Source organism: Homo sapiens, chromosome 11 (assembly GCF_000001405.40).
Source record: "Homo sapiens chromosome 11, GRCh38.p14 Primary Assembly".
Taxonomy (NCBI): domain Eukaryota; kingdom Metazoa; phylum Chordata; class Mammalia; order Primates; family Hominidae; genus Homo; species Homo sapiens.
Genome location: NC_000011.10, coordinates 66,893,169 through 66,918,594, shown reverse-complemented (window position 1 = coordinate 66,918,594; position 25,426 = coordinate 66,893,169). Strand labels below are relative to the sequence as shown.

The 25,426-nt window shown below is 49.7% G+C and overlaps 1 protein-coding gene across 10 annotated transcripts in view, besides 1 other annotated feature; it reads left to right on the top strand.

Annotated features, from left to right (window-relative positions):
- PC (pyruvate carboxylase) overlaps positions 1 to 25,426 on the top strand; it is a 109,964-nt gene that overhangs the window by 39,789 nt on the left and 44,749 nt on the right. Inside the window, exons 1-2 of one of the 10 annotated variants that reach the window (NM_001439358.1) lie at positions 10,642 to 10,774; positions 12,142 to 12,273. The exons of 7 other annotated variants lie outside the window; for them this stretch is intronic. The gene's annotated coding sequence lies outside the window, so the exon portion shown is untranslated. Of the gene's footprint in view, positions 1 to 10,641; positions 10,775 to 12,141; positions 12,274 to 12,560; positions 12,708 to 25,426 lie in introns of those variants that run through there. 2 more of the 10 variants (NM_022172.3, NM_001439359.1) reach the window with 2 other exon arrangements.
- Positions 12,814 to 13,461: an enhancer, noted in NCBI's record as "H3K27ac-H3K4me1 hESC enhancer chr11:66672605-66673252 (GRCh37/hg19 assembly coordinates)". NCBI's record gives its function as "activates a minimal SCP1, AML or CMV promoter by ChIP-STARR-seq in naive H9 embryonic stem cells {active_cell/tissue: H9 hESC(naive)}" and the evidence as "EXISTENCE:reporter gene assay evidence [ECO:0000049][PMID:30033119]".

The window sequence follows — 25,426 nt, the reverse complement described above, 5'->3', positions numbered from 1 at the left end:
TCGAGACCATCCTGGCCAACATGGTGAAACCCCATCTCTACAAAAATACAAAAAATTAGCTGGACTTGGTGGCGCGTGCATGTAATCCCAGCTGCTCAGGATCTCTTGAACCCAGGAGGCGGAGGCTGCAGTGAGCCAAGATTGCGCCACTGCACTCCAGCCTGGGCAATAGAGCGAGACTCTGTTTTAAAAAAAAAAAAAAAAGTAGATTTTGTATATGTTTTTTGAAATAAGGTCTCACTCTGTTGCCCAGGCTGGTCTTGAACTCCTGGGCTCAAGCAATCCTCCTGCCTCAGCCTCCCAAAGTGCTGGTATTATAGGCATGAGCCACCACGCCCTACCTAGAAGTATAATGTTAATTGCAGAGTTGGTTCTAGTGGACTCAAAACATTATAGTTTGTGTACCTCCCTTCTACAGGACTTGGGAATGGAAAGAGGAATTTTAATTGCCTTGCATGTGAATTTTTCTTTAATGCAAAATTCTTTAAGAGGAGGAAAAAGGATTCTATTTGCTGTTTCTATCACCACCTAGAGGGCTCACAGGCTGCTGTGGGGGAAAGGACTTGGGCATTTGACTAAAGATTTTGCAATTGATGGTGGGTGCTCTATCAGGTATGTGCTAACTTAGGGGAAAGCTAACCAGCTTCCAGTTTGTCCCCTTCCTGCAGCAGGAGGTCCTCCTGGACCATCCCAGGCTCTAGGCTGCCCATGGAGGTCTTTCCCTGCAGCTCACCCCAGGGTATGAGTGCCGTAATCCTAGAAGGCTGAGGCTGGGCTCAGGTGCCTCTTGCCCCAGGTAACCCAAGTTCAGGCCAGATAAATTTCTCCGTTATTATACAGAATGCCAGGAGTTTTCCAGACCCTTTCCCCTTATCAGTAATTTCATGTCCACCAGAGCAGTGGACAGGCATCATGTAGGTGTTAGACATTCTGAAGCTTACGTCTAGCTAAGGCAACACACATACACAAGACAAGATTGAGGACAGCGTCCAAAGCAACAAACGCAGCCTTCAGAATAGCATCAGTCCTCCCGGCCTGGTTCTAGTTTTCCTTGGAGCTTAGTTCTAGAATTTCAGACTTGACCTCTTAGCTTATCAATTCTCTATGCTCTTGAACTCCATCCTAGGTAGGAAAAAGTGAAGGGTGATCTCTGGAAACCTACGCCAATTTGCATAGACCCTTCTGATAAGTAGAGTGCTTTAATATACATTTCTAAGTGGGGACCAGGTACAGTGGCTCACAGTTTGGGCCCCCAGCACTTTGGGAGGCCAAGGCGGGGTGGATCACTTGAGGCCAGGTGTTTGAGACCAGTCTCACCAACACGATGAAACCCCGTCTCTACTAAAAATACAAAAATTAGCCGGGTGTGATGGCGCGCCCCTGTAATCCCAGCTACTCAGGAAGCTGAGGCAGGAGAATCCCTTGAGCCTGTGAGGCTGAGGTTGCAGTGAGCTGAGATGGTGCCACTGCACTCCAGCCTGGGCAACAGAGTAAGACTCTGTCTCAAAGGAACAAAAACAAAAACATTCCTGCATGGGGTGAGGGCTCTTGGTTTGTAGATGATTTGCTCAGGGTCATGACGAACTAGGGCTGGAATCTAGGTTTTGTGCTCCCAAATATTTTATTTTATTTTATTTTTTTGAGACAGAGTCTCACTCTGTCACCCAGGCTGGAGTGCAGTGGCACGGTCTCGGCTCACTACAAACTCTGCCTCCCGGGTTCACGCCATTCTCCTGCCTTAGCCTCCTGAGTAGCTGAGACTATAGGTGCCTGCCACCACGCCCGGATAATTTTTTGTATTTTTAGTAGAGACGGGGTTTCACCGTGTTAGCCAGGATGGTCTCAATCTCCTGACCTCGTGATCCGCACGCCTCGGCCTCCCGAAGTGCTGGGATTACAGGCATGAGCCACCACACCCGGCCTTTCTGCTCCCAAATCTTTTGTACTTTCTGTAGTGTCATGCTTTTCTCCCTTCCACGTTTATTGGTTCCCTATCTTTACCCAGTGCCTTCTTGGATCACTGCTCTGTTAGCCTTTGGGGAGACTAAGGTGACTAAACTGTGGTCTCAGGACTGGCAGCTCCTAGGAACTCAGGTCCCCCAGAAATTGAGGTGAGTAATTTGCTGCCTATAAGCCAGATCTGCTTAGACGGTGAAGTCCTCCTTAACCCTGTTCAGAGCACAGACTGCACATACAAAACTGCTTGGCAGGTCGGTCACAGTGGCTCACGCCTGTAATCCCAGCACTGTGGGAGGCCGAGGTCGGAGGATCACCTGCGCCCAGGAGGTGAAGACCAGCCTGGGCAACACAGTAAGAACTCATCTCTACAAAACAATAGTAATAGTAAAATAAAACTGCTTGGCAACGAGCAGGACAGGCTTGCTGTCTACAGCTGTGGGCCTGGCCTGACCTACGCTAAGGGAAAGACCACAGGGGCTGGGCCAAGTGTGGTGAGTGAGAGCTGGGGAACAGACGTGGCCCCTGCACAGAGCGCATTTGTTCCTGCTGATCCCCTCCAGCAATAGGGGAGTTCCAGCAGAAGCAGTGGCTGAAAGAAACACAGTTGGTGTGTTTGTTTTGGAGGGTAAGGAGGAGGAAGGACCAAAGCAGAGGGAGTGGAGGCTGTAAAGAGCGTTGTAGGAAAGACTGAGACTATGGGAGGGGTAGTTAGTACTGAGCTCAAAGTGCCGAAAGAGGCAGTGGCTATTGCCTGTAAAGGACGAAGAAAGAAGGGAGACAGAACCAAATCTGGGGCCTCAGAGGATTGGGACCAGGCTTCCCCCAACACCATGTGCTTGTCAGCACCAGGATTTTTTGCCTGACTGCCCTCTCTGTTACGTTAGCGTGAGACTTTAGGATAAATCGAGGAAGTCTCGGAACCTGGCATGCCACCTCTGAGGCCTGTGGTCCCTCCCCTGGTAGCTCCCCCTGCGGGCAGGGCCCTGGTACACCCCTCCATGGATGGAGCAGAATCACCCCTGGAGCCCTTGCTCCCTGCAGGATCACAGGGCACGGAGTGGTCCACAGCTGGCCCTCAGCTCCAGGGGCTGCCGTGTGGCTTAGGGAGACTTGCCTTTGCTCTACAACTGTTTACCGAGCAGGACTGTGTTCTAGGCCGCATGCTTCATGCTGGAGACACAGCAGGGAGAAGGCCTCAGCCATCTCCTGTCATCAGGGGGGACTGGCAGAAGGCCATTCCCTGTTCAATTATAGCTGTGATCATTGCTGCACAGGCAGCGGGTAATGAGAGTGCCCTAACCCTGCTGGCCCATCAGGGGAAGCCTCCCTCCCACTGTGGTTATCTGCCTCTCGCAGCAGGCAGTGCCTTGCTGTGGAGCTTGGCAGAACATGGGGAACCTTAGGCAGGTTTCAGAGACTCCACCGTGCTCTCTGTGAAATGGAGTGGAGGGCGGGAGGAGCTTATGGCAGCAGCACCCTCCCTCCCTCCCTCCCTGGCTGGAGTCTGGTTGCTGGAGCTGTCTGTTTGCCTTGTGAGCCCTCCCCATTGGCGCACCCTAGGACCCTGCTGACACTAGTTTTTTTGTTGTTGTTGTTTTGTTTTTGAGACAGGGTCTTGCTCTGTCACCCAGGCTGGAGTGCAGTGGCACCATCATAGCTCACTGCAGCCTTGAACTCCCCCAGGCTCAAGTGACTTTCCCACCTCAGCCTCTGGAGTAGCTGGGATCATAGGCACGTACCACCACACCCAGCTAATTTTTTTTTCTAGACGTGGAGTCTTGCTATGTTGCCCAGGCTGGTCTTGAACTCCTGGACTCAAGCCATCCTCCCACTTTGGCCTCCCAGAGTGCTAGGATTACAGGTATGAGCCACCACAACCTGCCTGGCACTACTACTAAACAGTCCCTGGTAGTGTAATTGGAGGCGACGGCAGAAATGCCTCGAGGGGACAAGGCCTGTTTGGAGTTGAATTAAATGCCTCCTTGCCTGGCAGTGAATTATCAGTTTGTAGATTATCTGTGTTTGTTCTTTACTTACCTTTTTTGAGCATTTACTATGGGCCAGACTCAGTCCTTCCCTCAAAGGGATCCTGGCAAAGTCTTTCTTTCTTTCTTTTTTTTTTTTGAGACAGAGTTTCACCCTTGTTGCCCAGACTGGAGTGCAGTGGCGCCATCTCGGCTCACTGCAAACTCTGCCTCCCAGGTTCAAGCGATTTCCTGCCTCAGCCTCCCTAGTAGCTGGCATTACAGGTGCCTGCCACCACGCCCAGCTAATTTTTGTATTTTTAGTAGAGACGGGGTTTCACCATATTGGCCAGGCTGGTCTCGAACTCCTGACCTCAGGTGATCCGCCCACCTCGGCCTCCCAAAGTGCTGGGATTACAGGCGTTAGCCACCGCACCCAGCTGCAAAGCCTTTCTTTTTTCCTGGCTTCTTACCTGTTGACCTTATGGAGAGAGAGGGGCAGGAATACATTGTAAAAATCAAAACAGACCACCCTGTTTTATCCAGTAGGGAGAAAGAGAAAGACCTGCTGACTTACCGAAGTGTTTGGATTGCCCAGGTAGCTTGATAACCCCAGAGAGGAGGAAACGAGACGTACCTGGGCTTTGAGTTCCTAGATTTCTTTTTTGAGGGCAACATTCTTAATCCTTCAAACCCATCTTTGTGGCTGTGTGTCCTCAGGGTCAGTAGCAGCCTTAGGCCTGGGCACATGTGGCCCCTGTTCAGACTCTACACCTGAGGGGTACCTTCCTCCAAATTTTCCAGGTCCTCCTCCAGTGCCTGGGGCTGGCTGGGGCTCCCAGTACCATTCTGGCCACGGGTGTTGCAAACCCACCCTGGGATCCTTTGGGGTACTCTCCATCCCTCTACGTTGCACAGGGACAACAGCTGTTCTGTGGAGTCGTCCTGGGGCCCAGTTCCGGGAGATGGCTGCAGTATTTCTTTCTTTCTTTCTTTTTTTTTTTTTTTTGAGACAGAGTTTCTCTCTTGTTGCCTAGGCTGAAGTGCAGTGGCGTGACCTTGACTCACTGCAACCTCCGCCTCCCAGGTTCAAGAGATTCTCCTGCCTCAGCCTCCTGAGTATCTGGGATTACAGGCACGCCCGGCTAATTTTTGTATTTTTTTAGTAGAGATGTTGGTCAGGCTGGTCTCAAACTCCTGACCTTGTGTTCCGCCCACCTCAGCCTCCCAAAGTGCTGGGATTACAAGCGTGAGCCACTGCGCCCAGCCTGCAGTATTTCTTTAGTGGGAATCATGTGAGATTGGGCTGCCAGAATGGTGCTGATGCACTAATTTTGAGTGACTCAAGTTTTTATATAGACGAGTCCCCATAATGTATTTGTCTGGGGCCCCATGCATCCTAGATCTGCCCAGGGGCCACCCATTGGGCCCTCTAGCTCTGCTTAGCAGCTCTGCGCCTGAACCAGAAAAGAGCATAAGGGCCTATTGTGTGTCCCCAGGGCCTGAATGGTACTTTGTTTTCTGCCTTTGGCGCCACAGGCCAAGCGGCTTTACTACTGCTGCTGCCGTTCTAACAGTCTCGTCTCCAATGAGAAATTCATTCCCACCCGGGTTTCACGTTGTTTTACTGAATATCCTGTGAGGAATGGGCTTTGAGCCAGCTTGGGGTCTCGTGTGGGTTGCTGGGTGGGGGCTTATCACTGCGGTAATGAGAGAAGGAGCCTTCCCTACCCAGTGACCTCAGCTGTGGCAGGAGGAAGCCCTTCGTTAACATTGAACTAGGGGGCTAAATGGCAGGAAGGGAATGTGGTGGGAATTGTTGGGAGACCCCTCCCCACCCCAGGGTGAACTGAGGCTGGGGGCAGCTGGGCAGAGGCAGGAGCTGATAGTATTTGCCGTCCTCTTCCCTTGCTGCTTCTTGCCCTCCTTCCCCAACCATCCCCATTCCCTCTTGGCCCACTCTAGTGGGGAAGCAGGAAAAGGATCCTGTGAATCAAAGCTGCCTATTTTGTGTTGAGGTCAAAGGAATGGAAAGGGTGGAGAGGAAACCAGCGGAGAGCAGGTTGTTAGATTTGGAAGTGCCCACAGGAAGCGGCTGCTCAGCTGAACTCCACCCTTTACGGCTGTCAGTCACACAGCGCTGAGGTCAGCCATCCCACCTACTCAGTGCAGGAATCACGCCGCTCACCTCGCTGCCTCTTCTTGTGTCCCAAGGTGAAGAAGCTTGTTTGTTTTATTCCAAAACTGGCATTACTTTCTCCCAGGCCAGCAAGGAGTGTCTTCCTAGACTGGTGGTTCTCAAACTAGGGTCCCCAGGCCCTTACACCTCCTCAAGTCTGTTCCAGGGGGGTCTGTGAGTCAAAAGGATTTCCATAACAATACCAAGAGGTTCTTTGACTTTTCCAGTGTGTTGACATTTGCACCCATGGTGCAAAGGCAGTGGTGGGCAAAACTGTTGGGACATCTAGGATTGCGATGGGGATTGTAGGTCAGTGTGGCGAGTATTCCCATCTTAGCAACAGGAAGTCTCTGACCCATGAACATGTGGTATCTTTCCTTTCCTTTAGATTTTTAATTTCTTTTGAGGGTCTTTTATAGTTTTCAGTGTATAAGGTTTGCTTTTCTTTTCTTTTCTTTCTTTTTTCTTGTCTTGCTCTGTTGCCCAGGCTGGAGTGCAATGGCGCGATTTTGGCTCACCACAACCTCTGCCTCCTGGGTTCGAGGGATTCTCCTGCCTCAGCCTTCCGAGTAGCTGGAATTTACAGGCATGTGCCACCACACCCGGCTAATTTTTGTATTTTTAGTAGAGATGGGGGTTTCACTATATTGGTCAGGCTGGTCTCGAACTCCTGACCTTATGATCTGCCTGCCTCGGCCTCCCAAAGTGCTGGGATTACAGGTGTGAGCCGCCATGCCCAGCCTAAGGTTTGGATTTCTTTTGCTAAATTTGTTCCTGAGTTTGTATTCTTTTCAATGCTTGTCTTTCTATTAATTTAACTTTATATTGTTTAATCTCTTCCTCTTTACGCCTTCCTTCTTAACTAGACTAAAGACAGGGATGTGTCTTATTTATTATTACTTTTTTAAAGAGGCAAGCTCTGGCTGTGTTGCCCAGGCTGTAGTGCAGTGGCTATTTACAAGTGTGATCATAGCTCACTGCAGCCTCGAACTCCTGCCTCAGTATCCAGAGTAGCTGGGACTACAGGCATCTGCCATTGCACCTGGGTTATGGTGTTTTTTTTTTTTTTTTGTCCAGGCTGCTCCTGTAAAGAAGGCTGGTAATTATTATCCCTGGTCTAGTGGGGGAAGAAACTGAAGCCCAGGATGGCGGGGTGACTTGCCTCTTGGCACAGCACTGGTAACAGTAGCAGAGATAGGGCCATGACTGTCTGATTCACATCTCGCAGCTCCTTCCAGTTGCCATCCTACAAGGGACTGACATTCTGTTCTTAGCCTCCCTGAGCTTGTGTCTAGGTCTCTACCTCTCTTGTATTGAGGCCCTAGGGCATGATGGAAGAGAGAAGGACTAAGGCTATTATTACAAGGGCTGACCATTGGGGTCATTTTTTTGGACATCTCTACCGTGCTAGACTCTCGTAGGTATTTCAAAAATACGTTACCTCATTGGGTTCTCATAGCAACTCCACAAGATGGCTCAGATCATTCTGCATTTTATAGATCAGGAAACTAAAGTTCAGAAGGTTACGTAAATTCCCAAGTTGAAGAGCGACTTAAGTGTTGGAGTTGCAATTAAACACAGTTCCCAGAGCTCAAACTGCAGTGCTGGGAGGGGACAACAGTGGGTTTATGTGACTTGTGTGGAGGAGGAAGGACACTGGGGCATTCTGGGACACTGTGAGACTGTCAGCACTAGCGTTGGGTTGGGTCAATCCAGAGCCTTTGCTCTCTGGCCTGGAGCTGGTATCACAAAGTGGTTGGTTTGTTGCATCTTTCTAGGGGTCATGGACAGTAGAGGCCTGGAAACCTTAGCCCCTGTGACCCCTGCCCTGCAGCCTTATTCTTTGACAATTAACTCTGGGGGTGGATGCTAATTTGCCACATGCAGATCTTGCTTCCACCGGCCGTATGGTGAGTTCTTAAAGTGTGGGGCCATCACGCTCTCTCTGCTTCCCTATAGCACCTAGTATCTTTTGTGTTACATAGTGGACAGTCCTCACAAGCTTTCCGAATAAATGAAAGAAACTCTACTTGCTTGTCTTGCTCCATAGAAGTCATACGACATCAATGTATGTGTGGCTAGATTTGGGGTGGCAGAGGAGAATGGGGGACCAAGGCCATTAGAAGGGTCCATCCAGCTGCCCTGATGGCACAAGGAGCTTTCTGCAGGATGGACCATGAGCCAAGACAAGGACGAGACAGATGTAAGCACTACCCAGAGCTGAGCACAGAGCGACTCGTTCTCCACCTGGAACCTCCAGCTGGAAGCCTGGTTCTGTTTGTCACCCAGGACTAACAGTGTTGTTGAGCATGTGAGCGACTCGTTCGCCAGGGCAGCAGCGCATAACCTTGCTACCGTTTAAGCCAGACACTTACTCCCCCCGCTTGTGTTTTTCTCAGATGAAGAAAACACCTATAAAGTCGTCATAATTGTTGGTTTCAGGGTATTTTACAATTGCATGGAAGGTTAATTGTTGAATTTTTCAACACCGGGCTTTCTGTGTAAATTGAAGACAGCATGGATCATGCTGTGTTGCTCTGCCGCAGTGAGTGGTCAGGCCCCTGCGTCCCCTTCTGCTCATACCCGGTGTTCCAGCCATACCAAACTGCATGGTTTGTGACCATACAATGGCCCGTGTCCTGGCCACACCACTCTCTTCCCTTTTCCCTTCCCGCCGGTCCTCTGTCACTCACCTTGTCTGTGAGTCTCAACTCCCATGGTTTCCTGATACCTGAGTCCCCTCCTCCCATCACTAGTTCAGCACTGGCATTTGCTTCCTTTGGCTCCCACCACACTTGGTTTCTCCTCTTTGTTTACGTGTCTAGTGCCTTCCCTGACGTGAGCTCCTGGAGGGCAGGGACTGTGTCTTCTTGTCCGCTCCGGCTCCCCAGTGCTGATGGAGACTCAGGCAGGCTGCGCTGGACCAAATAGGACACGTGGTGGTGATGACATTTTTGGTCCAATCCAGTAGCAGCCTGTGAAGTGCTCATTGCAGGCAGAGCTGAGTAAGCTGTGACCCCACTCTCAGGCAGCTTCTCTTCGGGGGGGAGCGGCAGGGACACCTGTTCCGAAGATCATGTCCTGCATGATCTCTGTGTGCTGAGGAATGAAGCATGAGTGGAGATGGCTGGGGTCCATGACGAGTATGACCTTGGGCAAGTCACTGTGAATGGCACTCCTGGGTGAGGCTTAGGCTGAGTGCAGGCTCCATGCAGATACTTCCTCCAGCTCTGGCCCCACACCAGCAGCACACCAGCCAGAAGGCAAATCTCAAGGCGAGTACGGGAGTTGGTGGCACCTCTCTGCCTCCAGCTGTGGAAGAGGCACCCGGTGCCTGTCTGGGTGCTAGGATAAGGACAAGAATTGTCACAACCAGCAGCTGTAGCACTGGACACGGGGAACAGGGACTTTCTGCCATTTCCCACTTTGGCATTCCAGCTGATCCTCTACTCTTTATTCCCAGATAGGGCCCCTGGTTTGAGTCTCATTCTGAGCTCACCTTCCGGGTAGCCCCCTTCCTTCATGGGCTGGAAGGGAAGCAGAAAGCTGCTTATTGTCATCTTGGGAAAAGATAGAGAAGAGGCGGAAACAGAGGTGCCAGTGCTGGTCAGGATCCTGGACCTGAAGGAATGTGCAGGATCCCTCCACCCTGACTTTTCAGTTAACGCGTGTTCTCGGGGACATCGGGGTGTTCAGACCTCTGCCTGGCTTGGATCAGGGCGCACTTACGTTCCCGTAGCAGGCTCAGCCTACCCGCTCTCTTCAGATGCCAGCTTCTGTCACACAGTGAGCGCGCCGAACCATGCAAGACCTCCGACCAATTAGCCTCGGGTTCGGGAGGCCAAGCAAAAGATCTAACAGTGAGCTATTGACTGTGCCTCCTCCAAGGAGCTGGTCAGAGCTCAGCCTGGTGTTTTGCTTCCTTGCGATGGTGGGGTGGTACCCAGTAGGTGGGAACTCTGTTCTGGCTTCTTACTGGGGTGCCCTTTAGGATAACACTTTGTTAAATGAACTGAGCTGGGTGGTTTCATAGTATGTTCAAGCATGTGAACATCTGCTTGCTGATAAATCGTACTGGGTCACCAGCTCACACTAATCACCAGGTAACATGTGCCCTGGTGAGGGATCCAGTCTTCTGGCCCTGTGGGGAGACAGGCCCATGATGTCACCAGTTCCCAGGTGGACAACCCAAGGCATAGTGAGGTCTCGGCAGGAAGGAGGAAGACATTAGACTCCTTCTTTTTTCTTCTCCCCATTGAATCTTCTGCTCCTTTCCTTAGGCCAGATGCCCTGTCTCTCTCCTGGCTGGCTTTCCCAGCCCTGGCCCTGGCCCTCCCTTCTTTGTGAAACTCGAACACCACTGCCCTTTCATCTTTCCACCAGAACTTGTGAGCAGTGGCTTTTGACCGCCGCTCTTCCAGCTCACCCCTGACCTAGTGTTTGTTTTTTTATCCTTCCCTCAGTCTACTCAAGGCCCACCCCTAAGCCAGAGATTGGCTCCCAAGCAGCCTCTCTCTCCTGGGAGCGGTAAAGGAGGGGACAGTTCTGGAAAGTCATTGACAGGGGATTAACCTAGAACATCAATTATAAACAGGCAGCAGGCCTCAGGCCCAGACTTGGGTGTTACAGGAACAGTGTGGCCTCTCTGGAACTCTGCAGACCAACTGCCGTGGTAAGAGAACCGACTTTCAGAGGCCTCTAGGCACTTTGTCCTGGGTAGGGGTGCCCACACATCCTGGCCATTGTTGCTCTTCCCTCTGGAACTTGGCAGCTTTCTAGCAGTTAGAAGAGCAGAGGGTAGAAGGATGGGAACAGTCCTTAGAGAACAGGAATCTAGGGGAGGGTTGGACTAGATCATTTCTCAAGAGCTGTGGGGACTGTTCTGGTCAGGCATGGGCAAGCTGAGGGGCAGGAGGTAGGCAAACCCTACTTGACCTGAGAACAGATTTGTTGTTGTTTTGTTTTTGTTTTTGAGTCTCGCTTTGTCATCCAGGCTGGAGTGCGGTGGTATGATCTCGGCTCACTGCAACCCCTGCCTCCCGGGTTCAAGCGATTCTTCTGCCTCAGCCTCCCGAGTAGCTGGGATTACACGTGTGTGCCACCACACCCGGCTAATTTTGTATTTTTCGTAGAGACGGGGTTTCACCATGCTGGCCAGGATGGTCTTGAACTCCTGACCTCAGGTGATCTGCCCGCCTCGGCCTCCCAAAGTGCTGGGATTACAGGCGTGAACCACTGTTCCTGGCCGAGAACAGGTTTTGCCTGAGACCTTGGACAGAAGACCTTGGCCATGGATCCAAGAGCTCTGGGCCAGAACACCCTTGCATGATGGTGACAGTTGAGGGAAAGGCCACATGGTTCCTTGTGTAAATGGCATGGCTGCCAGTGGTCATGGGGAGGCCCTGCTCATAGTTCAGCACCAGCCGGCCCTTCGTGTGCTGTGCTCCAGCTCCCCAGCCGGCTCAGTCCTTCACAAAATGCCCTGGAGTTACAGAACAGAAAGGCCCGGCTTTCCTTTAGGAATCTGGGAAATAGGAGGGCTGAGGTCATGCTCTGTTCAACATGTGAGACCTCCCAGACAGCAGTGCAGGAAAAACATGTTACTACCCGTATTTTGGGAGACCAGACCTCTGGCGTTTGAGTAGGACTCACTGCTCAGATCTAAGGGGAGAGAACATCTCCCATTTTGAAGAAAACCTTTTCCTCAGTTTAGGAGGAGGAGAAACTGATCAGGTTCCAAATGGCCTCTTGTTCTTTAACTGCAAACGGGCCAGGCTCCCTGCCAGGTCATGGGATAACAATCCAAGGAGAGGGGAGAAATGCAGTGTGCATGTGTGTGTACATGGGCATGCTCGTAGGGGGAAAGACTGGGGGGATGGAGGTGACGTGGACATCTGTGTATGCTTCAGCTCTATTTCCCTCTGCTTAGTCCCAAACTGCTCGGGATTAGCAATTGTTAAGAACATGCCTTTCTCCCCACCCCGGGAGTTCTAGGCCAGGGGTGGAGGGATTGAGCACCGTGGCTTTGTTCTCTGTCAGGTGGTGCCTTTCTCTGTGACACCGAGGGAGACCTGCCATCAGGAGGGAGTCTGAGGCCAGGAGACAGTACTTACCGATCAGGATGGATCTTTGGTCTTGTTTGTGTGCTTGGTTTCCTGGCTGGAATGAAATGTCAGTTTCATGAGGACAGGGACCTGTTCTCTCCTGCACAACTTTCTCTCTGATGACCGACAGTGCCTGGCATGTTGTAAAGGCTCGTTCAGAAGTGACTGAATGAATGAATGCATACTTTTTAGGCGGGGCTGCATATCGTTCCCTTAAACCTCCTGATTCATCTTCCGTTGCTTCCGTGTCAGCTTCTCACTGGGTCATTGTCTGCTTTGGTGCTGCCCTTCCCCACAACTTTGAGAGTTCATGTTACTGCAGGCTCCCCGCCCGCCCACCTCTGCCTGAAACTTCTCTTTTGGGCTCCTGTGCTGTGACATACTAGCAGTATTTGTTTGCCCCTCTTAAGACCATCCCTTCAGTTTCATTCCTGCCTCAGTTTCTCCTCCTCACATTTCTGCTGTTCCACCTCTGCTCCTGTGCTCTTCTCAGGAAAGCAGGTGAGTGGTGATGCCCTGGGCTAAGCTCGCCAGGGCCTGGGCAGCCCAGGCACCCGTGGTTCGGGTGGGGAGGGAGCATGCTGGTGGCCGGAGCTGGGCTTGTGGGCAGCAGCCCTCCCCACCTTGCTGAGGCCAAGCTCTTTCTCATGGCTTTGGCTGTCACTTCTATGCTGATCACCCCCAAATCATTGTGTCTATATTTCTCTATTGGTGCTTCTGACCTTCCAAAATCTGATCCCACCCTGGCAGTCAGACCTTATTTGATGTCAAGGATTATTAATTTGTAGCATGTATTACATCCCTAATATGGACCAGTTCACATGCATTCTCATATTTCATCCTCCCAATGAACATACAAAGTCAAATAATTATTCTTATTTTACAGAGTCTCAGACAACTTAGTTCCTCTAGGTAACCAGATTAATTAGCATTAGGGGGTTGTGATCAGGATTTGAACTGGCTCCACTGGCCCCTGACCCTGAACAGAGTCAGCTTGGAGTCCGCCCTTGGAGACGAGGACAGCCGGTCCTGTTTCTCCCTCTCACCCCAGTGCACTCACACAGCAGGCGTTGGCACCCTTGCTAAGGGCCAGGCCAAGCGTCTCCTCTGTGAGCCTTCACTTAGCTCTCCTAAGCTGCTCGGCCTGCCTCCTCTCCCTTTTCTCTAACAGCAGTGCCTTTGCACACACTATGTGTTTGTTATATGTTGGCTGTGCCAGTCTTGCCTCGTCAGCAGATAGTGATTTTCTTAAAGGCAGAGGCCATGTTTTATATGATCCTCCATCCCTCAAGTGTGTGTTACAGGCAGTTTGTTGCTCAGTAAACACTTGATACCTCTGATGAGGTGAAATCTAATCACAGTCCTTTGCATATGTATTGTGGTTTACAGTTTCTGAAACCGAAGAGCCAATTTGAAGTTTCCTGTAAAACAGATCCCTTAATTGTCAGCGCTCTGTGCTGAGAGGGATAAATCTGTTTTGTAGACGGACTAACAGGTCCAGAGGTAGAGTGAATTCCCCAAGGTCATATGATGGATGATAGCAAAGCCAGAACTTGAACCCAAGGTTTAACTCTTAATGCCGTTCCTCTTAATGCCGTTCCCTTCCCACAGAATCACAGCAGCCTGTGGTCCAGACTTGGCCAGGTGACCCCTGCCAGGCCTTCCATCCCACTTAGTCATACAGTTCCTTATTTGTATTTGTCCTTTCTCTTTCATTAGAACTCGTGTCTTTTTGTGTGTGTGTGTGTTTTGAGACAGGGTCTCGCTCTGTCACCCATGCTGGAGTGTGGTGGCACAATCACAGCTCACTGCAGCCTTGACCTCCCAGGCTCAGGTGATTCTCCCACCTCAGCCTCCTGAGTAGCTGGGACTACAGGCGCATGCCACCATGCAAGGCTAATTTTTGTATTTTTTTAGAGGCAGAGTTTCACCGTATTGCCCAGGCTGGTGTCAAACTCCTGGGCTCAAGTGATCTGCTTGCTTTGGCCTCCCAAAGTGCTGAGATTACAGACATGAGCCACCGCGCCCAGCCTTAGAATGCTTGTCTCTTGAGGGCAGGGACCCTGGCTGCTTTTCCCATTATCCTTCCAAAGCTCCAGCTCTGGGGCCATGAACCAGAAATCATTCCTTCAAGGATGTTGACACAGTGAGTCACCTGAGAAGGGGCAGGGTGCAGGAGGGGTGGGGCAGGAGATCAGGAACTGGTGTGGGACATTAGGGGTGGGAGATAGGCCAGAAAGCCCCATGCTCTGTGTAAAAGCTTCTGTCAAATGAAGATGTGCTTGTCCTACCTACCAGGCGAGGTTACTCTTAGTAGCAAGTGAGAGTGTCTGCTAAAGCGCCTTCTAAACTGCAGAGCACTAGCAATATTGTTGTTAAATATAATTATAGTCTGTAGCTGGGCATGGTGCTGGGTGTCTGTAATCCCAGCTACCCGGGAGGCTGAGGCAGGAGTATTGCTTGGGCCTAGGAGGCGGAGGTTGCAGTGAGCTGAGATCGTGCCGTTGTACTCCAGCCTGGGTGACGAAGTGAGACTCTGTCTCTAAATAAAAAAAAAAAAAATGTATATATGTGTGTGGGTGTGTGTGGGTGTGTGTATATATATATATATATATTTTTTTTTTTTTTTTTTTTTTCCTGAGATGGAGTCTCTCACTCTGTTGCCCAGGCTGGAGTGCAATGGCACCATCTTGGCTCACTGCAACCTCCGCCTCCCAGGTTGAAGTGATTCTCCTGCCTCAGCCTCCCCAGTAGCTGGGATTACAGGTGCCTGCCACCACGCCTGGCTAATTTTTTTTTTTTTGTATTTTTAGTAGAGACAGGGTTTCGCCAAGTTGGCCAGGCTGGTTTTGAACTCCTGACCTCAGGTGATCCACCTGCCTCGGCTTCCCAAAGTGCAAGGATTACAGGCGTGAGCCACCACGCCCAGCCAAAAAATATATTTTTTAAAATAATAATAATTATAGTCCGTAGGGATGAGCTCAACAACATGGTTGGATAGAATCATACTGGCCTTGTGAGTATTGAGGAGACAATCAGGATGGTGCCTCACCCAAGGCCTGGCACTCCAGCTATTATGAATTATTCTTGTTTTCATAATTATTATAAGACATGCCCTCTTCCTTCAGATTGGGGAAAGGAGTTGGCAGTGCTGAGAATGCATCGCTTCTGGATTGGGACTAAGAAGATGGGAAAGGCAGTCTGGCCCTAGGGCTTTCGTAGATCCACTCACCACCGCAGGTCCCCGACTCTGAATACCTCCTTCCTCCCAGTGGGGGTTTTCAGCAAGCTAATTTCTCACCCCTGAGGAGGAACTGTTATATTCGGATGAACACCCCCCTGCTAATGTGGAGCAGAAAAGTAAGGCCTGGCGAGTCAGCAGCTGCTCAGCAGGTGGATGGGCTGCGGTGGTGTAGCGGGTAGGCGCCTGACAGCCCGGCTTGCCGCAGCCGCTGTGCTTCCCTCCCATCCCTGGGGTGTGCATTTTAGGGTAAAGGCAAACTGGAAGCTCTTGCTATTTGCAGAACTCCAAAACAACAAAACAAAATGTCCACTCAGCTGGGGGTTGGCTGGGCAGCACCACTGTGATTACACAGTTAGCCTGGGGGAAGGGCTGTGGTCAGAGTTTGGGGGACACACAGGTGTGACTGTGATGTGATACAGCTGGAGGAGGAAGAGGAGGGTGTGATCACAGGCCCGGGAGTGGCCAGGGCAAGAGTGATGGTGGAGGAGAGTGGCTGAGGTTGGCAGGCAGGGAGGAGAGATTGGTAACTACTAATCACTAGCATGATCAGTCTTGACAATCTATCTACAAGGGACTCCCAGGTGGCAGGGCAGGACCTGAGGCACAGCTCGGCATGACGGGCAGACAGGGGTCTACGTGGCTTTGAGCTCTGAGACCATAGGCAAGCTGTTCATCTGGGTGTCTTTCCATGCTTACAATAATATTCCCCTTACAAGCCCTCTGATGATTGAGATCATAGAAATCACTCAGTGCAGTGGCTGGCACTCAGTAGCAGCTCACACAAATGATCAGCAATTCCGACACTTGCTATGTGGCCATCACAGTAAAATCAGCAATAGTGGATGCCCAGAGCTGCATCTCCGGGAAGCCTCTGAGCCAGTCAGTGTTTGTGCTCAAACTCCAAAGCATAGGATGAAAGGTCAGATCATGGGGCTATGAAGATATGTTCTCCTAGGAGTCACGAATAGGGAGAGAAAACAGCAGCAAACACAGTCAAGGCCATGTCCTGCCTGGGTTGCTGTTTACTTTCCTCTTCCAGGAACTGAAGCTGTTTCCCATTGGATTTCTTTACTATCGCCTTGGCTCATGGACTGGGTACTTTGGTAATCAGTTCGCCCAGAGAACCAGGCTTTCACATTGACCTAGGTTCCACAGTGACTTCCTCCACGGGATGTCGGGGTGTGTCATCTAGCAGAATAGCAGTCAAGACTACCCAGGAATGGTTGAGGGTTGCACACTATTTTTAATAAATTGAATTAAATAGCCAAGAAAAGTCAGACACCCAACAAGGGAAGTTGAGGCACCAAGCGACAGTGGAAAGTCATTACTACCACTAGGCTTGAAGGGGTCAGGAGAAGAAATAGCATTTCCTGGCTGGGCGTGGTGGCTCACGCCTGTAATCCTAGCACTTTGGGAGGCTGAGGCGGGCGGATCACCTGAAGTCAAGAGTTCAAGACCAGCCTGGCCAACATGGCAAAACCCCATCTCTACTAAAAATACAAAAAAATTAGCCAGGCATGGTGGCAGGTGCCTGTAATCCCAGCTACTCCAGAGGCTGAAGCAGAAGAATTGGTTAAACCCAGGGAGGTGGAGGTTGCAGTGAGCCAAGATCGCGCCATTGTACTGCAGCCTGGGTGACAGAGCGGGACTCTGTCTCCAAAAAAAAATAAATAAATAGCCTTTCCTGCAAACACCAGTGAGGGCTGAATAGTGGACACTGGGATGCCAGCAGGAACTGTCATAGCGACAAGACACAGCCTGGGTCAGGATGGTGGCATCAAAGCTGGTAGAGAGTGAGGAAGGCACACCCCACGTTCTCTCTCCACCGCCTCCTACCTACCCTTGTCTCCCGCCTGTGCCTCTGTCTCATCGGCTGGACCTACAGGAAACCAGCCAGGAAGGGAGCCCAGGTGCCTCCACCCAGAGGGCTCAGCCCCGCTGGGTCCAGAGAAGGGCATACAGGGAGGCCGCCAACCAGGTAGCCTTTCCCCAAAAGGCAAAGCTGTGGAGGAGGCATCCACTCAGCAGGTGTGGAAAGCAGGGGGGATGAGAGCTCTGGCATCCTAGGGTCTGAGCGGCTGCTGCTGCTACTTTTTGGGAAGGGGCTGCCAAATCAAAACTAGTTACTAGTTCAAAATTTGATCATAAAGGGCAATTAGGAAAGATAAGGAAATAAAGAACATCCAGATTGGAAAGGAAGAGGTAAAAGTATTTTTATTTTCAGTTGACATGATCTTGTATAGAAAAACCTAGGGAACTCATTAAAAATCTATTTGAATTAAATGAGTTCAGCAAGGTTGCAGGACATAAGATCAGTATGCCAAAATCAATTGTATTTCAGTAGCAGTGGGCAAATTGAAAATGAAGAAAACAATTCCATTTAAGATAGCATCAAAATAAAATATTTGGGAATAAATTTAATAAAAGTGCAAGACTTATACTCTGAAAACTATGAAACATTGTTGAAAACAATTAAAGAAGACCCAAATAAATGGAAAGATACCCCATGATCATGGATCAGAGACTTAATATTGTTAAGATGGCAATACTTCCTGAATTGATCTGCAATCCCTATCACAATCCAAGATGCCTTCATTAGCGGAAATTGACAAGATGATCCTAAAATTCACAGAGAAATGTAAGGGAACCAGAACAACCAAAAGAATCTTAAGAAAGAAGAACAGGCTGGGTGCAGTGGCTCGCACCTGTAATCCCAGCACTTTGGGAGGCCAAGGCGGGCGGATCATGAGGTCAGGAGATCAAGACCATCCTGGCTAACATCTCTACTAAAAATACAAAAAAATTAGTCGGGCGTGGTGGTGGGCGCCTGTAGTCCCAGCTAGTTGGGAGGCTGGAGAATGACGTGAACCCGGGAGTCAGAGCTTGCAGTGAGCCGAGATCGTGCCACTGCACTCCAGCCTGGGCAACAGAGCAAGACTCCGTCTCAAAAAAAAAAAAAAAAAAAACAACGTTGGAGGACTCACACTTCCTGATTTCAGAATTTAACTGCAGTGTGGTACTGGTGTAAGGATAGACATATAGATATATAGATCAATGGAATAGAACTGAGAGCCCAGAATAAACCCTCACATTAACAGTTAATTGATTTTCAGTAAGAGCGCCAAGACAATTTAATGGGGGAAAGAATAGTCTTTTCAACAAGTGGCGCTAAAACAACTGTATATCTGCATGCACAGGAATGAACTGGACCCCACCTCATACCATATACAAAAATTAATTCAAAATGGACCAAAGACCTAAATGTAAGAAGAGCTATAAGGAGAAAAATAAGTGTAATTCTTTGTGACCTTAGGTTAGGCAATGATTTTTTAGATACGACGCCAAAGCACAAGCAATAAAAGAAAATGAACTGTACGTCATCAGAATCAACCTTTGTACATCAAAGAACACTATCAAGAAAGGGAAAAGACAACCCACAAAGTGGGAGAACATTTTGGAAATCATCTATGTAACAAGGAACTTGTATCTAGACTACCTCAAGAACTCTTGGCTGGGTACGGTGGCTCACATGGGAGGATGGCTTGAGGTTGGGAGTTCAAGACCAGCCTGGGCAATGTCATAAGACCCTGTCTCTGCAAAAAGTAAAAAGGAAAAAAAAACTAGCTACTTGGGAGGCTGAAGCAGGAGGATGGCTTCAGGAGCCCAGGAGTTTGAGGCTGCAGTGAACTATGGTCGTGCCACTGCCCTCCAGCCTGGGCGACAGAGTGAGACTCTGTCAAGTAAAATCAATAATATTATGGGACCACCATCGTATATGCATTTCATCATTGACTGCAACATCGTGTGGCACATACCTGTAGTCATATGATGGGATATTATTTAGCCATACAAAGAAGTGAAGTACTGGCACACACCACAACACGGATGAACCTTGAGAGCAATATGCTAAGTGAAAGAAGCCAGACCCAAAACCCACATAATTTATGATTCTGTTGATATGAAATGTCCAGAATTGGCTGGGCACGGTGGCTCACCCCTGTAATCCCAGCACTTTGGGAGGCCAAGGCAGGTGGATCACTTGAGGTCGGGAGTTCAAGACCAGCCTGACCAATATGGAGAAACCCCGTCTCTACTAAAAATACAAAATTAGCCGGGCATGGTGGCGCATGCCTGTAATCCCAGCTACTCAGGAGGCTGAGGCAGGAGAATCGCTTGAACCCGGGAGGCAGAGGTTGTGGTGAGCCAAGATCGTTGCCATAGCACTCCAGCCCGGGCAACAAGAGCGAAACTCCATCTTAAAAAAGAAAAGAAAAGAAATGTCCAGAATAGGCAAATCCATAGAGACTGAGAGTAGATGAGTGGTTGCCAAGGGCTGAGGGAGCTAAGGGGGTTGGAGCATGACAGCTAGGGGATAGGAAATGTTCTAAAAGCGGATTATGGCGGTAGATGCACATATCTGTGAATATATTTAAAAAGCCATTGAATTGCACTTTATTTGTTTCTTGAGACAGAGTCTTGCTCTGTCGCCCAGGCTGGAATGCAGTGGCGCAATCTCGGCTTACTGCGACCTCCACCTCCTGGGTTCAAGCGATTCTCCTGTCTCAGCCTCCTAAGTATCTGGGATTACAGGTGCCTGCCACCACGCCCAGCGAATTTTTGTATTTTTAGTAGAGATGGGGTTTTGCCATGTTGGCCAGGCTGGTCTTAAACTCCTGACTTCAAGTGATCTGCCCACCTCAGCCTTCCAAAGTGCTGGGATTATAGGTGTGAGCCACTACACCCGGCCATTGAATTGCACTTTATGTGTCTCATCTATATGGTATGTGAATTGTATCTCAGTAAAGCTGTTAAAAAACAAAACCCTGGCCCTGAAGGGCAGCGCAGTCGGCTAAAAGACTGTGATTTAATGAGGAAACTTTCCCACCGGGCTGTGACCGCTGGCCCTGGCTCCCTTTGGCCGGGTGGAGGTGCTGTCTGCCACTGAGGGCCCTCAGCTGCTTTTTCAGGATCTCAGAACATGGGAGGACCCCAGCTCCAGAAGAAAATCTTAATTCCAGTTTAATCTTAATTCCAATTTAATTTGGTTGAGTTAAACATTTTTGGAACTGTACTGTGAGCTAGGCACCAGGCTAGCTGCTCTCATGAAAAAACAGGGGCCCTGGAGCTGGGCAGCCTTAATTATTCTTGAGTTTGCTACTTCCTGTGGGTCCTTCCCAGCCTCAATTTTCTTTTCAGTAAAATGAGGGTTGATAATACCCCATGAGATTGTGGTGACAATTCAGTGGGCTAAAAGGAAGATGCCTGGAATATTGTAGGCAGAAAATGAAAGTTTCTTTCCAGTGCTCCTGGAGCAAGTTATCTCTACCAAGTGGACATAACAAAGATGAGTTAGTTATGTCTGCCCCCGTAGAGCTCAAGGCTGGATACATGACCTGTACTCGCTAACCAGGGCCTGGGGAGAAGCAGGCCAGGAGGAGGGTCCCTGTCTTACTCTGGTCCTGGGTTGGGAACCGGGGAAGGCTTCCTCAGGGAGGGGGCAATGAAGTGAGGCTTTGAAGGAGGATAGCTTTTCGCATGTTGTATTTTATTCGCTTTTTGTTTATTTATTTTTTGTAGGCAGGTCTCTCTCTGTCGCCCAGGCTGGAGTGCAGTGGCATAATCTCTGCTTACTGCAACCTCTGCCTCCCGGGTTTAAGCAATTCTCCTGCTTCAGCCTCCCGAGTAACTGGGACTACAGGTGTGTGCCACCACATCCAGATAATTTATTATATTTTTAGTAGAAACGGGGTTTTGCCATGTTGGCCAGACTGGTGACGAACTCTTGGCCTCAGGTAATCTGCCTGCTTCGGCCTCCCAAAGTGCTGGGATTATAGGTGTGAGCCACTGCACCCCGACTTAGTCACTTTTTGAATAGATAATCAAGTACATGGTGCCAATTCAAAAGGGTCAAGGCTGGGCGCGGTGGCTCATGCCTGTAATTCCAGCACTTTGGGACGCCTAGGCAGGTGGATCACCTGAGGTCAGGAGCTCGAGACCAGCCTGGCCAACATGGTGAAACCCCATCTCTACTAAAAATACAAAAAAATCAGCCAGGCATGGTGGTGCGCGCCTGTAATCCCAGCTACTCTGGAGGCTGAGGCATGAGAATCTCTTGAATCCCGGGGGCAGAGGTTGCAGTGAGCCGAGATTGCACCACTGCACTCCAGCCTGGGCGACAAGAGTGAGACTCCATCTCAAAAAACAAACAAACAAACAAACAAAAAACAAAAGGATCAGCAGTGAAAGAGAAACCTTTCCCAGAGGCAGCCACTGTTACCAGCTCCTGAAGTGTCATTCTAGAAATACTCTATGTTTATGAGTGTATGTGCGTATATATAGGCGGACGCTTCTCATCTAGGCAGATTTTCACAGCATCCACATTGTGGTCCGTGGGGATCAGGGGCCTCCTGCTAAGGTGTGGGTTAGGCTTCAGGTGTTATGTTCTTGCTGCTTTCGTGTCTTGCGGTCAGGTTCGGCATAGGCCCTCTCATCAGTAAGAGTGAGGCTTCATTTTCCTTTAGTTCCCCTTGAAGGGAGCCAGCGGCGCTGTCCATCCTCCTTGCCCCTCTGCTCCCTTGGCGTGCCCTCTCCCAGGGATTTCCTCTGTCTTTCTCCTTTGTTCCCCGCTCCTCTTTCTCGTTTGCTTGCTCCCTTGTTTGGGTGCAGCATATTGACAGCAGCTTCCTAACAAAGACCTTTGCCTTTTCTTGTTATTTTACTTTCATACATGGTTGATAGTTTAGCTGGATAGAGAATTTCAGGTTGGGGCCAGGAGCCATGGCTCATGCCTGTAATCCCAGCACTTTGGGAGGCCGAGGCAGGTGGATCACTTGAGGCCAGGAGTTCAAGACCATCTTGGCCAACATGGTGAAACCCCATCCCTACTGAAAATACAAAAATTAGCTAGGCATGGTGGCACATGTCTGTAATCCCAGCTACTCGAGAGGCTGAGGCAGAGGATTGCTTGAACCCAAGAGGTGGAGGTTGCAGTGAGCTGAGATTGTGCCACTGCACTCCAGACTGGATGACAGAGCCAGACTGTCTCCGGAAAGAAAAAAAAAAGAGAATTTCAGGTTGGAAACAATTTTTCCTTGACAAGTTTGAAGGATTGCTTTGCACTTTTCTAACTTCTGAAACTGCTAAGAAGTCCAAAACCTTTCTGATTTCTGATACTTTTGTCTTTTTTTTCTTTTTACCCTCCTTTGGGAAAGCTTACAGGATCTGAAATTGGACACAGTGCCTTGGTGTAGGCCTGTGTTCATCTGTTTCGTGAGGCTCTCAGCAAGTCCTTCCAGTGTGGAAACTCATGTCCTATCCTGGGAGTTTCTTGAAACATTCCTTTTCTTGCCCTCTGTTTTTTACTGTTCTGTCTTTCTGAAACTCCTATTATTTAGTTTTTGGATCTCTTGGACTGACCCTCTAATTTTTTTCCCTTTTTCACCTATTTTCCATCTCTTTGTCTCTTTTCTTCAGTTTCTAGAAGATTTCCTTTTATCTTTCAACCTTTCTATTGCTTTGTCTTATTGTATTTTTTAATTTCCAAGAGCTTTTTTGCTCCCCAAATGGTTCTTTAAAAATGTGTGTAGCATCCTATGTTTTCACTGATGTAATCGTTTCTTATTTCTGTGAGAATGTGAATGCCATGTTTGTCTCTAAGTTTTCTTCTCCCTGCATAGTTGGTTTCCTCCAAATTGCTTTCTCTGCTCTTTCCTTTGGTCTCCATCCTCTTTGAATGAATCTGCCCAGGGACCTTTGGTTGCCCACTCATAATTATTAGGAGGGTCTAAAATGCTGCCTGGGAGCTGGAGCAGGTGGGGGTCCAGTTCTGAGTTTACCAGTACATGATCTGGGCAGGCTGTTTGTTGGGGAACCTCAGTGTCAACACCTGGGAGCTCAGTTGGGGAAGGGGGTAGCATGCAAAGAGTCACGTAACCTGCCACCCCCATTTTTGGCAAGGTCCCCAGGCCCTCAACTGTGCCTCGAATTTCCCAGTCCAGAGACCCCACACTTTTCCCTCCCCAGAAAGTAAACCTCTGTTCTTCCAGGGCTGGAGAGGGGAGGTCTCTGGCATGAGATGGGGGAGGTAGGGGTCTAACTGCTATTTTTTTTTTTTTTTTTCCTGAGACGGAGTTTTAACTCTTGTCACCCAGGCTGGAGTGCAATGGCACAATCTCGGCTCACTTCAGCTTCCGCCTCCTGGGTTCAAGTGATTCTCCTGCCTCAGCGTCCTGAGTAGCTGGGACTACAGGTGCATGCCACCACGCCCAACTGATTTTTGTATTTTTAGTAGATACGGGGTTTCACCATGTTGGCCAGGCTGGTCTCGAACTCCTGACCTCAGGTGATCCACCCGCCTTGGCCTCCCAAAGTGTTGGCATTACAGGTGCGAGCCACTGTGCCCAGCCCTGATTGCTTTTTGAAAGCTTTCAGCCTGCCCTCTTTATACACGGCAGCCCGTTCAGCCCATTGTGGAGGTGGGAGGCCTGGAGCTGCAGTTCCCTGGCCTTTGGAGGATTCCTGGTGGATGGTGGGAACCCGGGTGTTCTCAGCCTGCTCCAGACCCAGGCTGTGAGGTCAGCTGACGCGAGCTGCGCTCCAGCTTCTGCAGTCATGTTGCTGTTGTCTCCTCTCCTGTTCTGCCCTTGGGGGTTCATAGCTTTAAAAATATATATATATTTGCTGAAGTCTTAGTGGGATTTCATAAGGGAGGGAGAAAAATTAGATGCATACCTGAGACAGGAGCAGGACTTGCATGGGCAAAAGCTGGGACGGGAAGGGTGTTCTAATGGTAGAGGGAGTGCTCTGAGGGAGAGGGGCAGGTGCTAGGATTTCTGAGAACAAAGAGGAGGCAGCTGGGCTGCAGCTGGAGAATCCGGGAGGCTGGGGCATGGGGGGACAAGGCTGGACAGGCAGGGTGCACTAATTTTGGGGGAGGTCCCCAAGGAGACTTGAGTTTCCCACCTACAGACAGTGGGGAGTCAGAGAATTACCCCACTTTTCAGGAAGAGTGCCGTCATGCCTGTATTTGGGGATGCTAGCTATCCCTAGTACCTAATGTGGATTGGTAGCTAGAGCTGTGGTAATGAGTAGGAGGTTTTTACGATAGTTAAGTAGTAAGAAGAGGACATTTCAGGGTCCTCTTCTTAGAAATGAAAAGAGGGAAGGATGTGAGGGATTAAAGAGGTAAAACTGCCCAGACTTCTTGACCAGATGGTAGGTGAGGGAGGGGAAGAGCTAAAGAAGACCCTAAGCTTAACCCTTGGTGACCAGGGAGAGGGTGGTGAGGAAGGAAGGAGGAGGTGTCTGGTTGGGTTTGGTGTATGTGTGCAGTTTGGGAGGGGGAGTGAGGGGGTAGGGGGCGGGGGCTAAGTTCTGCTATAGAATAGGCATTTGCCATGTCCACCAAAAAGCGTGATTTTACACCCCCACGCTTCAACCTCCAAGTGCCTGTGTTGATGGAGAGAGAGAAAGAAGGTGTTGAGAGCAGGGGTAAAGAAATCAGTCCCTTAGAAGACAAAAGAATAATTTTCCAGTTGTTAAATGAGATTCTCAAAAGAATTTTTATGTTGATATCCTCAAAGATTAATTCATGTTGCAGAATGTCATTGGAACTACCTTAAGACATTGATAGAGTGCCTGTCTGCTGTCTTCCTTAGCTCATCCTCATGTTTTGATCAAATTAAGTACTTGGACACCAGGTCTGTAAAAAAGAAAAGAGCCTTCTTTATTTGGGTTCTGTAGGCAAAAGGGAGAGTGGAGAAGCGACTCTGTCTACGCTGCTCCCCTCACTCCCCGTCTCTGGGCCCTTCTGGGATTTGCATGCCACCCACTGCTCTGTCAGGAGTGGCTCTTAGGGAAGTGAGGAAAGGGCCTTGATTATAGTGTTTGCCAATTTCTGTGGCATAAATATGCCCACTGTGGCCCGTGTCAGGCTACCAACGTGATGTCATAGCACAGAGCTGGAGTCAGGCAAGCC